This window comes from Homo sapiens, chromosome 6 (assembly GCF_000001405.40).
Source record: "Homo sapiens chromosome 6, GRCh38.p14 Primary Assembly".
Taxonomy (NCBI): Eukaryota; Metazoa; Chordata; class Mammalia; order Primates; family Hominidae; genus Homo; species Homo sapiens.
The window spans coordinates 88,792,712-88,808,039 of record NC_000006.12 but is presented as its reverse complement, the minus strand read 5'-3'; the positions used below and the strand labels follow the sequence as shown (position 1 = coordinate 88,808,039).

At 35.7% G+C, this 15,328-nt stretch overlaps 1 protein-coding gene across 5 annotated transcripts in view; it reads left to right on the top strand.

Annotated features, from left to right (window-relative positions):
* Positions 1–15,328, top strand: part of RNGTT (RNA guanylyltransferase and 5'-phosphatase) — a 353,722-nt gene that overhangs the window by 155,579 nt on the left and 182,815 nt on the right. For 3 of the 5 annotated variants that reach the window (NM_003800.5, XM_047419443.1, XM_047419442.1), the window contains exon 12: positions 6,408–6,476. The exons of the other annotated variants lie outside the window; for them this stretch is intronic. In NM_003800.5, the coding sequence (NP_003791.3) occupies positions 6,408–6,476 (69 nt within the window). The remainder of the gene's footprint in view (positions 1–6,407; positions 6,477–15,328) is intronic. 5 annotated transcript variants of the gene reach the window in all.

Genomic DNA, 15,328 nt, shown 5'->3' with positions numbered 1-15,328 from the left:
TCTAGCTTGGTGGAAATATGTTTTATCAGCTATTGTCTGTCTGAAAAAGAACTCTACTGTGCCTTTATTATTGAAAGATATTTTCATTTGCTAAAGATTTTTGGATTGACATTGTTTCTATTAATATTAGTATGTTAAAGGTGAGGTTTCATTGTCTCATGGCTGGCGTAATTTCAGATAAGGAGTCTGCTGTCAATCTTATTTTTGTTCCTCTGCCTGTAATCTTTTCCCCCTTCTTGCTGGGTTTTGACTATGATAAACCTACATTTTTTTTTTTGTTTTTCTTAAATCTTTCTTCCTGTCCTCTTGGAGTCCATTGGGGTGTGTGTTTGTGTTTATGTGTTTAATTAATTTTGTAGCAATTGGAGGCATTATTTCTCTCAGTTGGTTTCTTTGCTTCCTTGTATCTTTCTTTTTGTTTTCGCATTCCAGCTGTACAAATGTTCTGTCTTTGGCTGTAGTCTCCCAGCTCTTTGATTCTCAGCACTGTTTCTTTTTTCCCTCTTTTTTTCTTTTTGTATTTCAGTTGGAAAAAGTGCCACGTACGTTTCTTCTTTAAGTTTAGTGACTTTTCTCTTCTGTGTCCAGTCTGTGGATAATCTCATTGATTATCATTCCCACTGATTAACATTCTTTTTCTCTGATGTTGTGTGTTTTTATTTCTGCATTTTCAATTGTTTCATTTTTATTGTTTCCATCTCTGCTGAAACTCCATATCCGTTTATGCATGTTTTCCACTTTTTTGTCTAGATCATTTACAATGTTATTTTTATTTATTTATTTGTTTTATCAACTTTTAAGTTCAGGGTACATGTGCAGGATGTGCAGGTTTGTTACATAAGTAAACACATGCTATGGTGGTTTCCTGCACAGATCATGCCGTCACCCAGGTATTAATTCAGCATCCATTAGCTATTCTTCCTAATGCTCTCCCTCTCCCCATGCCCCCCACAGGTGCCTGGTGTGTGTTGTTCACCCCCATGTGTCCATGTGTTCTCATCAATGAACTCCCACTTATAAGTGAGGACATTCAGTGTTTTGTTTTTTCGTTCCTACGTTAGTTTGCCGAGGATAATGGCTTCCAGCTCCATCCATGTCCCTGAAGGATACGATCTTGTTCCTTTTTGTGGCTGCATAGTATTCCATTGTGTATATGTATCATATTTTCTTTATTCAGTCTATCATTGATGGGCATTTAGGTTGATTCCATTACTTTGCTGTTATAAATAGTGCTGCAATGAATTTACACATGCATATATCTTTATAATAGAATGATTTATATTCCTTGGGTATATACCCAGTAATGGGATTGCTGGGTCAAATGATACTTCTGCCTTTAGGTCTCTGAGGAATCACCACACTGTCTTCCACAATGGTTGAACTAATTTACACTCCCACTCACAGTGTAACAGTGTTCCTTTTTCAGGCCGGGTGCGGTGGCCCACACCTGTAATCCCAGCACTTTAGGAGGCCGAGGCAGGCAGATCACGAGGTCAGGAGATTGAGACCATCCTGGCTAACATGGTGAAACCCCCTCTCTACTAAAAAGACAAAAATTAGCCAGGTGTGGTGGTGCGCGCCTGTAATCTAGCTACTTAGGAGGCCGAGGCAGGAGAATCTCTTGAACCCGGGAAGCAGAGGTTGCAGTGAGCCGAGACTGTGCCACTGCACTCCAGCCTGGGCGACAGAGTGAGACTCCATCTCAAAAAAAAAAAAAAAAAGCGTGTTCCTTTTTCTCGACAACGTTGCCAGCATCTGTTGTTTTTTGTAAATGTTATTTTTAAAGTCTTTGATAATTCCAAAATATAGACCCTCTCTTTGTCTGCTTCTGTTGACTGCCTTATCTTTGAATATAGGCCATTTATTTTTCCTTTGTGTATGTGTGTGTGTGAGACAGAATTTTTAAATTAGACGTCTTTCGTGGATTTTTCTTTCCTATATGAACAAAAGAGACTGAGGTAAGTATCTTTATGCTTGGTAACAGGCATACTTCTTTTAGTTTGTTAATAGGCTTCATTTGTGGGTGGGGAGGGGTAGTGGTTGAATCAGCCTGTTCTATGTGTTGCTATATAATTACATCTTCAGTGCTCCAAAGAATTTATATTTTCTCAGCAGTTGGCTGCTGTTACTTGTATTTATTGTAATGCCTAGAGTATAAAAGGGTTTTCTCCTGGTGTTTCTGTTTCACGTTTAGCTTTCAGTAGGCTCTGCTCCCCTGTACCACAGAGTGTTCTATTTTCATACTTCTAGTACTTTTCCCCATATGTAAACAACTGTTTCTTGCCGCTCAGTGCCAGACTTGTGAAGACTGTGGAGTTTTCTTAGTTTTTCTTCTCCAGCCTTAGTATTAAGCAGAACCTGAGCACCTGAATCGCAGGCATGGGGTTTTCCTCAGTGGGTCTTCCCTCTCCCTCTTGCCAGTGAAGTTTTGCCTTGCATAGGGATATTTTGTCAGGACCAAGTCTTTCTGCTTTTTATCAATATAATATCATTGGTCCAAGTCTGTCTCCAGCTTCTTGTATAGCTGCATATGGATTTATTCCCAGGTAACTTTTGCATCATATCAAGAAGGGTTTGGAAAGCAGGAGGGTTTTAACGTCTGTGCCCAACCAAGGTGGGGGCATTCTCATGTTTCCTGCCCTGCCTGTGGTCTTTCTTGTGAAGCCTGATAGAAGCCTGAGAAAAAGTTTGTATCTCTTGTGTTTTGGGCTTCCAGGGATTCTAAACTGTTCCACTCGCCCAGACTTAGTTTTTAAGAATTGGTCAGTTGTTGTTTTCTTTGTACTCACTTATGGCTGCCACTTCCTCTTCCTTTTCTCTACCAAAGAAGACATGAGTTCATATACTTCACCCTCCTTTGGAGGGGCTGGGATTCAGTTTATTTGGTTGCCTGCAGATGTCAGCTTTCTGATGGCCATAACAAAAGTTATTATTTGATAGATTATCTGCTTTTTTATTATCATCAGTGTAGAAGCAGCATTCTCTTACTATTTTTCACATCGTAAATGAATGAGGAACTTTTTCTTAAACCAACCTTTTAAAGGTATCTTCAAAGAGCAAAGCACTTCTAAGATTATGAACATAGATCTATGGAATGAATGAGGGGAAAAAGCATTTTCTTAACATTAGTCAACCAGTACTTGTAGCTTGGGATAACATCTGCAGTTATAATCTCATGTATGATTTGAAGAATGCTGTAAATCAGAGACAGCAGCAGGAAAAATAATGGAAACTGGCTAAATGACTTAAAAGTTGGCTCTAATGATGAAGATACTGATATATGGAAGATGGCCGTAACAAGTTTGGATACTTTTTTTTTTTAAGAATTGTAAATAAACAAAAGCTAATATTTCTAATTTAATAAACACATTACATATATGATCTCATATGAATATATAAATCAGTTAATATAAAGTATACAATATTAATAACATTTTTAGATTACATCTCTATTCTTAGAAAACCTTTTTTCCTTCAAGAATTTTATCTCCCTTCATATTCACTTTATTCATATAGTATATTCTATAATGCATTTAAAGTCTATAAAATTTTTGTTAAATATACAAATGGGGTCTTGCTGTGTTGGCCAGGTTGGTCTTGAACTCCTGGCCTCAGGCAGTCCCCTGCCTCAGCCTCCCAAAGTGCCAGAATTACAGGTGTGAGCCACTGTGTCTGGCCAAGTCTATAAAATTTAAGTGGCTATTGGAGGACCTATATATTTAGGAACTTGCAGAAATCTTTGGGGCATTTGTTTCAGAGAGTCATAAGACTTTATTTAGTTATCTCTTTATTTTTAGTTAAAGTCTGATGTAATCTGTTCTGAGTGATTTTACTTTACTCTCTGAATTAAAGCTAGTTGCTTATGTCTGATGACCTCAGTTTCCTTTTCTGGCAAATTGAGTAATAATTCAAAACTTGAGAATACACATCTCATGAGGAGTTATGTATTTTGAATGATATGTTAAGTACCAAGCACAACACTCCATTGTAGGTCTTTGATACATGATAGGTGATATCATAAATATTATGTGTCAAGTAAAGAAAAAAATATTGTCTAGAGTAATGCAGAGGAACTCTTATTTTGACCCATGAATTTTCAGTCCTTTAAATACTCTGATTTATAAAAAGAGTAGAATAAAAAATGAAATTACTTTCATTTCTGCAGCAGGTAGAATCATGTTATGTAGAGTCTTGCTAACTGGCTATTTTTTATTGTTACTTTACATACAGGCATGGTCCATTACATGAATTTGAGAAGTTTGGTTGAAGAATGGAAACTACCATGTTAACTTGCCATAAATGATGTACCTACAATACAAGTAGAGCAAATGAAAGATTAAAGGTTACATTTTTTTAACCTTTTTTTTTTTTTTGAAAAAAGAGATTATTGTGGTATTTGGTTTTTATTGCATCATTGCTCAGCAGAAATGCTATGAATTTAGTTTTTTTTTTTTTTTTTTTTTGAGATGGAGTCTCACTCTGTTGCCCAGGCTGGAGTGCAGTGGCACAATCTTGGCTCACTGCAACCTCCGCCTCCTGGGTTCAGGTGATTCTCCTGCCTCGGCCTTGTGAGTAGTAGCTGGGACTACAGGCGCGCGCCACCACACCGGTTAATTTTTGTATTTTTTAGTAGAGATGGTGTTTCACCATATTGGACAGGCTGGTCTTGAACTCCTGACCTCATGATCTGCCCGCCTCAGCCTCCCAAATTGCTGGGATTACAGGTGTGAGCCACCATGCCCAGCCAACTTTTTCATCTTTCAAAACTGAAACTCATTAAAGACTACCCCCCAAGCCTCTGGCAATTACTGATCTAATTTCTATCTCAGTGTCAGAAAGGAACATTAAAATTTTAAGGAAATATAGATTTTTAAACTCAAATTTGAACTGCCCTCAGTTTAGAGAAATTATAGATTTTGAAGGATGAAATGGCAGAGAAGATGAAGTCACAGTTTGGGAAGAGAATCACAGATTTTTGTTGCAAGTGAAATACGTACTTGAAGTTTTGGTTGTTGCTTTTGGAAAGCAAATCTTGTAAACTCTTTAAGCATAGTGCTTTCAAGAGTGTGTGATTGTGATAAAAGGGATGTATAACACACAGCATATCCAAAAATTTAGAAGACATATTTGAATCCTAGAACTATCCTGAATTTTCTGTTAATTGGCCAGAGTCTAGATAACCTGGTGTTGTGGGAGGGACCTGGTGGGAAGTAATTGATTCGTGGGGGCTATTTCCCCCCATGCTGTTCTCATGATAGTGAGTTCTTATGTGATCTGATGCTTTTATAAGGGGCTTCCCCCTTTGCTTGACACTCATTCTCTTGCCTGCTGCCATGTAAGACCATGCCTTTGCTCCTCCTTCACCTTCTGCCATGACTGTGAGGCCACCCCAGCCATGTGGAACAGCAAGTCCATTAAACTGCTTTTTCTTTATAAATTACCCAGTCTCGGGTATGTCTTTATTAGCAAGTGTGAAAATGAACTAATGCACCTAGCTCTGTGAAAGTATGTTTTGTTCTCTTCCCCAAAATGCAGAAATTCATGTTTCAGGCCTCCATCAGTGATATACATGTTGAGTTCTTCAAAATAATAAAAATCTGTGAAAGAGATACATTAAAACTACGTAATCAGTCAGAATTAATTAGAGGGTATGGGGTCTATAACTCTGTTGATATGGCATTGAAAAAACTGTTAGTTGTATTTTTCACGGTGTATTCTTTGCAATGAAATTCTCTGCTTGGAAAAATATAAAAAAGACACAAAAAAACCCCAAAGTAAGATTAAAAACATTCTCTAAGGGTTCTTGGAAAACACAATGTATTTATGGATTATAATCTCCATGTTTGAGCTGGTTTGTGGTTACAAATTCTTGCCCCCAAGCAAGTTTGTTTGTAGCTTTGGACTATAATCTTCATGTTTGAGCTAGTTTGTAGTTACAAATTCTTGTCCCCAAGTATTTCTTTGCTTCTCCTGTTTTTGTGTGTGTTTATTTTTTATTCCTTTTATCTATTACTTTCCAGAGTTTCTACTTTCACTTTGTTTTTGCTTCTATGTCTTTCTTCCTTTTGTGCTGGCTTAGGAATACATTTAAAAATATGTTTTCAGTGCTTTATTCATTATTTTGGTTGTTGTAGTTAGGACTATTGTTTAGAATATCTAGCCTGCCAAGGAATGGAAATTTGTGTGTGTGTGTGTGTGTGTGTGTGTGTGTGTGTGTCTGTGTGTGTGTATTCAAATCTTACGATGTATTAACTTAGATTCCTTTAGACCTATCCCTTTCTCTTATTTTGTATTTCAGTTCTTATAACTTATATATTAAGAAGTTTTTATAAAGCTTAGCAAGAAGTTTAAATACTTTTAAAGTGATTATTATATTTTTAAAGAATACATGTGTATTTATTTTATAGCTACTTGAAGGAAATTTTGCCAAAGAAGTGAGCCATGAAATGGATGGACTTATTTTTCAGCCTACTGGAGTAAGTTCATTTGTCTGTGTGTGTGTGTTCGTTTGTGTGTTTGTGTGTGTGTGTACACAGATATACATATACATACACATACACATGTATGCCTCAAACTTATTTACTTGGGATTGATTACTGCTGTGATTGCCACTTTTCCTTAAAACAAATTGCTCATTATGAAAGATTTTATTTATATCTAAATACATGTAATACTAAAATGAGCACCCATCTGTTTTTCACTCAGCTTAAGAAATAAGCATTTTTGGTCGTTACATTTCAAAGAAACCAGTCTTTTAATATAATTAGTTATTAAAAAATAATTTTCTACCAATAGCATTACATAAATGTTTATTTCCTTTTGTAACTTGGTATACTTTTATGTATTAATCTCTCTAAAACTTCATTTTGCTGTAGTTTACTGTAGAGTAAAATTCATACTTTGTCACTACTTGAGAAAGAATAAAACTTTTGAATATTTTTTCCATGTTAAATTTTTGAAATGCACTGAAGAACTTTTACCAACTTAATGGTCGAATCATATATTTGAAGTAAGTTGTATTTTACTCTATAGCAGGTTTTCTCATTCTCAACCACTGATGTGTTGGGCCAGATAATTCTTTGCTGTGGGAGCTGTCTTGTGCATGGTAGGATGTTTAGCAGCATCTGTGGTCTCTACTCACTAGATGCCAGGAGTATAGATGCCAGGAGCATGCTCCCTATTCCCATTTGTGACAACCAAAAATATAGTCTGACATTGCCCAGTTTCCTCAGAGAACATAATTGGCCCTACTTGATAACCCATGTTCTGTAGGACGGTGTTTTTCAAAATGTGGCCTGTAGAGGAGGATTAGCACCACCCAGGAAGTTTCACAGATGCAGCTCAGCCCCACACCTATTGAGTAGAAACTCTGGGGATGGAGTTTAGCGGTTTGTGTTTTGACAAGTTCTCCAAGTGATTCTAATGCATGTTCAAGTATGAGAGCTACTTACTCTATAGGAAAGAGTTTATTTCATGTGCAACCACCTCATCATATGCTGCTTTTTTTCTTCACCAACTCTTCTTTTAGTAATTAGAGTATAAGCTAGTTGAGAATTTATATATGGAGACATCAGACTGGGTGCCTGGGGTCAAAGAAAGGGAACTAATAATTTGAACACAGTGTATTAAATACTGTACAGGTTGAGTATCTCTAATTCAAAGACTGATATGCTATAAAATTTATAATGTTTTGAGCACCAGCATGATGCTCAAAGGAAATGCTCGTTGGAGCATTTTGGATTTTTGTATTAGGGATGCTCAACTGTTAAGTATATATAATGCAGATATTCCCCAATCTGAAAAAAATCAGAATCCAAACCACTTCTGGTCCTAAGCATTTCAGAGAAGGCATATTCAACCTATGCATGTAAAGCATTATATCTTTACGTGTGTAATAAATCTCTGCTAAAATGCAAATTTAGAGACAATGTGATATGTGATTGGCATCTGTCTGTCTTCTAGCCCCCCTTGCCAAACAAAGAACAGAAATATCTTCTGTGGTTAAGGGAGGAGGAGAGGGAGGAGGACATGGAGGAGCACTAGAGGTTAGGGACGGAAATGGAAGAAAATACTATTTTAGGAAAATTAAAGTTGAATCTTTTAGTTCTAATATATTCCAGTCTCCCTAGACTGAAAGAAGCAAAGTCTAAATATAACAATAAATTCAGAAAATTTCAGTGTGTGAAACTCATGGTTCAGATCTGTACATATATGGCATATGTAGGAAAAATGGCCTGACAAATAAGTGAGTCTCTTTCTTGGATGTCTAGTATAGGCAGTTGATTTGTCATTCCGTTCCCTTTCTAGTAACCATACTTTTTTTTTTTTTTTTTTTTTTTGAGATGGAGTTTTGCTCTTGTTGCCCAAGCTGAAGTGCAATGGCGCAATGTTGGCTCACTGCAACCTCTGCCTTCTGGGCTCAAGGGATTCTCCTGCCTCAGCCTCCTGAGTAGCTGGGATTGCAGGTGCGCACCACCATGCCCGGCTAATTTTTTGTATTTTTAGTAGAAACGGAGTTTCACCATGTTAGCCAGGCTGGTATTGAACTCCTGATCTCAGGTGATCCGCCTACCTTGGCCTCCCAAAGTGCTGGGATTACAGGTGTGAGCCACCGCGCCGGGCCGTAACCACACTTTTTATTACAATGACTTTGTAATTGATATCTGGTATTAAGTCAAGTCTCCCTGTTCGCCAGCATTACCTTAAATATTTGTTGACAATTGGTTTAACGTGAAAGTTTCAGAATCAATTTGTCATGCTACCCAGAAATTTTTGTTAGGAGTTTAATTGGAACATCTTTGAATTTAGATTAACGTGGAGAAAATTGATGTGTTTGCAATGTTAAATCACTTTCTCAATGAATGCTATGGCTTTTTTTTTTCAGGTCTTTTTCTGTTCTGTAACTGAGTTTAAGTTTTTTATTATTGTTATGGTAACTTCTAAATATTTGTCATTTTCTGCTTTTGTGGTAAATTGTGTCTTTTTTTATTGCTACTTCTAGTACACTGCCACATTATTGATTTATTTTATTGATTCAACAATCCTGTTGAATTCTGTTAGTTCTCATCATTGTCTAATTTTACACATTGACCAGGACCTCTAGTATTGAATTAAGTATTAGTTCTAGTTAGATAAGGGAGAAGACATTTATACCTTCTTCTCAACCTCAAAGGGAATGTAACTAAATTTTCTCCATTAAGTATGTTTGTGGTAGATTTCTGTTAGATATCCTTTATTGTGTTAAGAAATTTCTGATTCTGTTCTTCCAATAATTCTTTTTAAAATCATAAACAGGTTTTGGGCTTTAACACCTTTTAAAGCATTAATTTTAAGGCAGTAATGCCTCTTCGGTATCTACTAAGGTTATCATGTCATTTTCATTTTTACACCATTTATGTAGTAAATTACACTGATTTTTCTCATGTTGACCCATCCTTGCATTCCTGGGATAAATGCTACTTGATCATGATATATATAATTTTTTAAGCATACTTTTGGATCTAGGTATAATTGCTTCTTGAGGATTTCTGCCACCTTATTTCTTACAGTTCATTTTTCTCTCTTTTTTTTTTTTTGAGACAGGGTCTCACTTTGTTGCCCAGGCTGGTGTGCAGTGGCACAAACATGGCTTACTGCAGCCTCGACCTCCTGGGTTCAAGCAATCCTCGCACTTCAGGTCCCCAAGTAGCTGGGACTATAGGCGCGCACCACCACGCCTTGCTAATTTTTGTATTTTTCGTAGATACGGGGTTTTGCCTTGTTGCCGAGGCTGGTCTAAAGCTCCTGAGCTCAAGCAATCCGCCTGCCTCAGCCTCGCAAAGTGCTGGGATTACAGGTATGAGCCACTGTACCCGGCCAATTTTTCTCATTTTTTATATTCAGAATAATGAAGGTAATATTTTTTATTGTTGAAAAAATTATGTAAGTTGCACATAATCCATGGTAATGCCTATCCATGATTTAAAAAAACCAATTAAATGAGTGATTTGTGCTGAAAAATAGAACAGTCTCTTACCAAACAGTCTCTTACCTTTTTCTGCACTCTGAGTACTACTCCTAGGAGGCAATTATTTTCCTCTTTTTTTTTTTTTTTTTTTTGGCTTTTGCTTCTACAGTTCTACACAGTCTATGCTGTTCTTTTTTGGTTTTGTATTTTATACATAATCTGCTTACTTTGTACTGTGGAAGAATAGGATTGAGCCCTCTAATTCCACTAACCCCCTCCACACCCCTTTCTCCTTCTGTCATTCTATTGTAATTACATCACATATTTGGTCAAATTAATATTCAATTTTTATATTTTTATGGTGACATAAATATTGTTCCTATCTGGGTCAAATAGTATACAATTGTATTTTCTTTTTTTAGAAAAGTCTTGTCATCTAGCATTAGGAATATTTTTGGTTATTATAATTATTAATATTTCTTTCTTTAAACTCTCCAAAAGAACTGTTTACTTTTTATCAATGCAGTCAAATATATAAGGTCCATTTTTCATTTGAAGGCATTCTTTCTGAAGCCTTCCATTCTTTAGTCCTGCTGCATAGCCTTTTCTTCTTAGAGTTTCTTTTCACTATTTCATCCAGGAAATCCCTTTTACCTTTCTTCTCTGATAGATTTCCCTACTTTTTTGACTTTATCTTTTCTGCTTTTTTGATTTGAGTGATCTTGAAAACCTAATGCTGTACAAACTGGTCCTTATACTTATGGAGCTTTTGTTTCAGCTGTAAACTGAACATGTTATTTTCAGTGGTCTCTAATCTGTTCTACAATTTTATGGCTCTGACTTAGCCCCAAATTTTTTATTGTGTTTGTGTAGTTCTGTGCAACTTGGTATAATCTTGATTATCTCGTAATAAATCAAGCCTCCCTGTTTGCCAGGACGTTCTTAAATATTTGCAGACATTTTGTTTAACACGTAAGTTTCAGAATCTGTATGTCATGTTACCCAGCAATTTTTATTAGGAGTTTAATTGGAGTGCCTTTGAATTTAGATTAATTTGGAGAAAATTAATGTGTTTGCAATATTAAATCATCTTCTTATATATACTAGAGAATTAGGGAAAAGGTGCAATAAACCGTAGCTCAGGACTACCTGTCTAAATGTCAGAAATTTCCAGAAGTTTTAGATCTACTCTTAGTTTACATATTCAATTTTGTATTTTTAAAAACTTTATCTCGTAAGTTATAACTGATAGCAATATTAGACAATAGAACTAAAAAGGAGAGAGTAGTTGTACTCAAATTCTGTATTTGTAATAAGCTTCCTAAGACACTGGCTTTCTCAGCCTCTTCCACCTTTTGGATGGCTGTCTTTATACTTGTCTTCTAAGGTAGTTCTATCCCCCTTTCCTTCTCTTCATAGAGAAAAGTGTATTTTTTATGGCTATAGCTGTTTTGGTTAAATCAACCTTTAACCCATGCCTTTTGTTTTGCTTCTAGTACTCTATTTCTTCGTTCATATTATACATTTCTACTAGGGACAACCAATCTTCAAACAATCAGTGAAGTCTGTTAAGTGGCTCATCACTTTGTCTTTTTGGGTTGTCCTTGCTATTTATTCCTTATTTAAAAAAGACCATGTCAGATTTGGCTCAAATTGTTTTATACTCAGCCTATTTCAGTAGCTTCTTAACTGCTCTTTGTATCTGTATTATCTTTCCAGTCTACCCCTGTTTTTTGACCTAGTAAAATTATACTATGGAAGAAACCCTTATATGGGGGAGACCAGTACTGACTGATAGAAATATAACATGTAACACAAATATGATCCACATATATACTTTAAATGTTTCTAGTTGCCACATTAAGAAAAAAAGTGGTAAAATTAATTTTAATAATATATTTTACTTAAACGACTATATCAAAAGTATTATCATTTCAACATTTACTCAATATAAAAACAATTATTATTTTTGTACTGAGTATTTGAAATCCAGTGGGAATTTTACACTTACAGCATGTCTTGGACTTGCCACTGTTCAAGTGCTCAGTGGCCATGTGTGTAAGTAGATAGTGCAGGTATAGATATATTGATTTATTGTTTCCCATTTCTTGTATGTGCTCATGGCATTTGTACATGATTCATTTGTGATCTTCAGTTGAATTGTAATTCTCTGTGTAATGATAGATTTTTCTTCTCCAGCTTGCAGAACAAAATAAGATTACATTTCTTTATTCAAATGCAATAGGCAGGCTCCTACACTCCTTCCCCTTCCAAATCATAGTGCATTGCAGTATTGCGAGGGTCCCTTTTTTTATTTTTATGTTCTTCCCTTTTAAAATTGTGCTTTGAGTTGTTTATTTCTTGTTTTTTGTTTGTTTGTTTGCTTTTTTTGGTGGTGGTTTTTAAAAAATTATACTTTTAAGTTCTGGGATTCATGTGCGGAACATGCAGGTTTGTTACATAGGTATACACGTGCCATGGTGGTTTCCTGCACTCATCAACCCGTCATCTACATTCAGTATTTCTCCTAATGCTATCCCTTCCCTAGCCCCCAACCCCCCACAACATGCCCCAGTGTGTGATGTTCCCTCCCTGTGTCCATATTCTCATTGTTCAGCTCCCACTTATAAGTGAGAACATGTGGTGTTTGGTTTTCTGTTCCTGTGTTATGTGCTTCGAGTTATTAAACGTGTTCTATTCAAGGGGTCTTGATTCCGGACTTCAGTTTCTGTAACGGTGAAATGCTACTGAGTTTGTAGATGGAAACCATTTTTTGTGCATTTACTGCCTTCAGCCCTCTATGTTGATAGTGTTGAAGAGAGGTGTTTTTAAGCTACACCTGTTAGTCTGATGGTAGTATTTTAGGGTATAAAGAGTTGAAAAGATAGTTGCTAGGTTTCTTTCGTATCACCTTAGTCATGAATATTTAATCTTAAACCTCTTTAAACAAAATTGACACATACATATTTGCATTAAATAACTATTCCTCTATCATCACTTTTATAGCAGCTTGGTCAGAAGTGATACACCTTTGTCTAGAATTAGATCTTTCCTTCCATGACAGCCTAGGTCCTGATCATCAACCTGTACCTTCTACTTCTCTGATATGGAGATTTTTCAGTTCTCTGGTAGCAGCTGTTCTCATTCTGAGGCCACCAGTCTAAGAGAGATGAGATCTTAGATTCCTGTGCACACTCTGTGTCTTCATTGCTCTCCATTCCATAGGATTTGTGGGAGATTGATTTGCTTTCATGAAGCTGAAAGCAATATCTTTTTCTATCTTTTCTCTTGAAAAATTGTTACTAATTGCCAAATTGCTTCAGAACTAAAACTGATTGCTTAAATGATTATTCTCAAAGCAAAAATGGTTCTCTTTAAAGATGCCTTTCTGTTTCTAGCTACCCCTCACAAGCTCTCTTTTGGTTATATTTTTGCCTCACAAAATCTATGGGCTGTGGTTATATTTTTGCCTCACAAAAATCTATGGGCTGTGGTTATATTTTTGCCTTGCAAAATAATCTGAGGTTATTAGTCCTTTCCTTCCTTATTTCTTTTTAAACCTCCATTGTCTAGGATAGCGTTTAGCCCAGTATGTCTTAGAAACTGTTTGTTAAAGGAATGAAAATGCATCTTTGTGTTTTCCCCAGTCTTTCAGATTTGACTAGTTTTTTATGTTATCAATGTAGGTAAATACCTTTTAAATTTATAGGTATTTTATTTTCCTTGCTGCATAGGAATATGTGTAATCTAATTTATGCTGTTATCTTTTTTCCTTTCAAAAAACTTATCAGTGGCTTTCTTTAAATTCTCACTTTTCTTTGCCAAGTCCAGAATCCAAACACCATTCTTCCCTAAAACAATAACATGAGTTTTGTCCTCTGCATATTCTCTTCAGAAACTTCCCAGTGGGTTAGGAGTGGTCTCTGGTTAAACAAACAAACAAACAGACACCACTGAATATCTTTTTGATTCTCCAGTTTTTCATCTGTAAAATGTAGAGGCTGTAAGAGCTTAGCTTTGAAATTCTCTTATGGTCATATGATGATCAGTGCAAATGATATAAATCAGTACTTGAAAATTCTTTCTGCCAATAACCTGGTGAAAATTTACTAAGTAATGAATTTTTAATAAAAGAAGAAACTCTTTTATTTTAGTTTCCTAAAAATAATTTATGTTTTAAATGGCAAGTTAGACAATTAAAATAAACTAGACTTCTTATGAAGTTTGATAGTATGACTATTACATGACTGTATTCTATTGATTTTTTTCTCCTGCCATGATTTCTTTTTTTGGTGGGGGAGACAGAGTCTTTCTCTGTCGCCCAGGCTGGAATGCAGTGGCGCAGACTTGGCTCACTGCAACCCATGGTTCCCAGGTTCAAGTGATTCTTTAGTAGAAATGGCATTTTACCTTGTTGGCCAGGCTAGTCTTGAACTCCTGGCCTCAAGTGATTTGCCCACCTCGGCCTCCCAAAGTGCTGGGATTATAGGCATGAGCCACCACACCTGGCCATCCTACCATCATTTCAATAGACTTTTCACTTTTATATCTTTTATCTCCTAAGTTGTTAAGATTATAAAATATATGGAATGTCTCTGAAAGGGTCACATTTTGTTCATCAGTGGACATGGTCAGCTTCTTCCAAAAGTATTAATTTATTTTTATTAGAACAGATTTATTTTATTTATAACAGATTCTAGATTAGTTTACATTTATAACTTATTTCAGAAAACATGTTTTACAACTACCTATTTTGGTAACAGTTTAATTGATGGCATAGCACTGTACTATACTAGTTATAAGTATCTAGTTCATCATTTTCATTTTCTATGAAATTTTAATGATTTCAGTCTTTGTTTCTTAATGTTTTATTTCTGATTGTAATTTCTCATGATCGTTTTCTGTCTAGTTTTTTATTTCTTAAAAGCACATGTTACCAACTTTAATTCTCTTAGTTTTTATCACTAATATGTACCTTTCATCATATTTTTGATGTGCTCTTTAATTGGATGGTTAATTTCTAAAACAGCATCTGGCTGTAAGAAGGATGTGGTACATAATCACATGTCTACCCATCCTAGTTAATTCAGTGGTTATTTTACATTCCTACTATTTTTTTTGGTAAATATTCTAAAGGGTATTCTAAGTATAAATATATATTAACGGTGCCATCCAGAATAGGCTCCAGTTTTGCATAAATCCATTCGGGTAGCAGGAGGCAATTTTCTCTCTCAAATGCAAAATTTCATTATATTGAATTGTGTAGCCTTTGTTATTTTTTCCTTATTTTGGTTTTGCAATTTCAACCTCCGATTCTCCTGCAAAGGCTGATTTTTTCCTATTTTTAGTTTATCCTCAGTTTAGGCCACCATCACCAGAGTG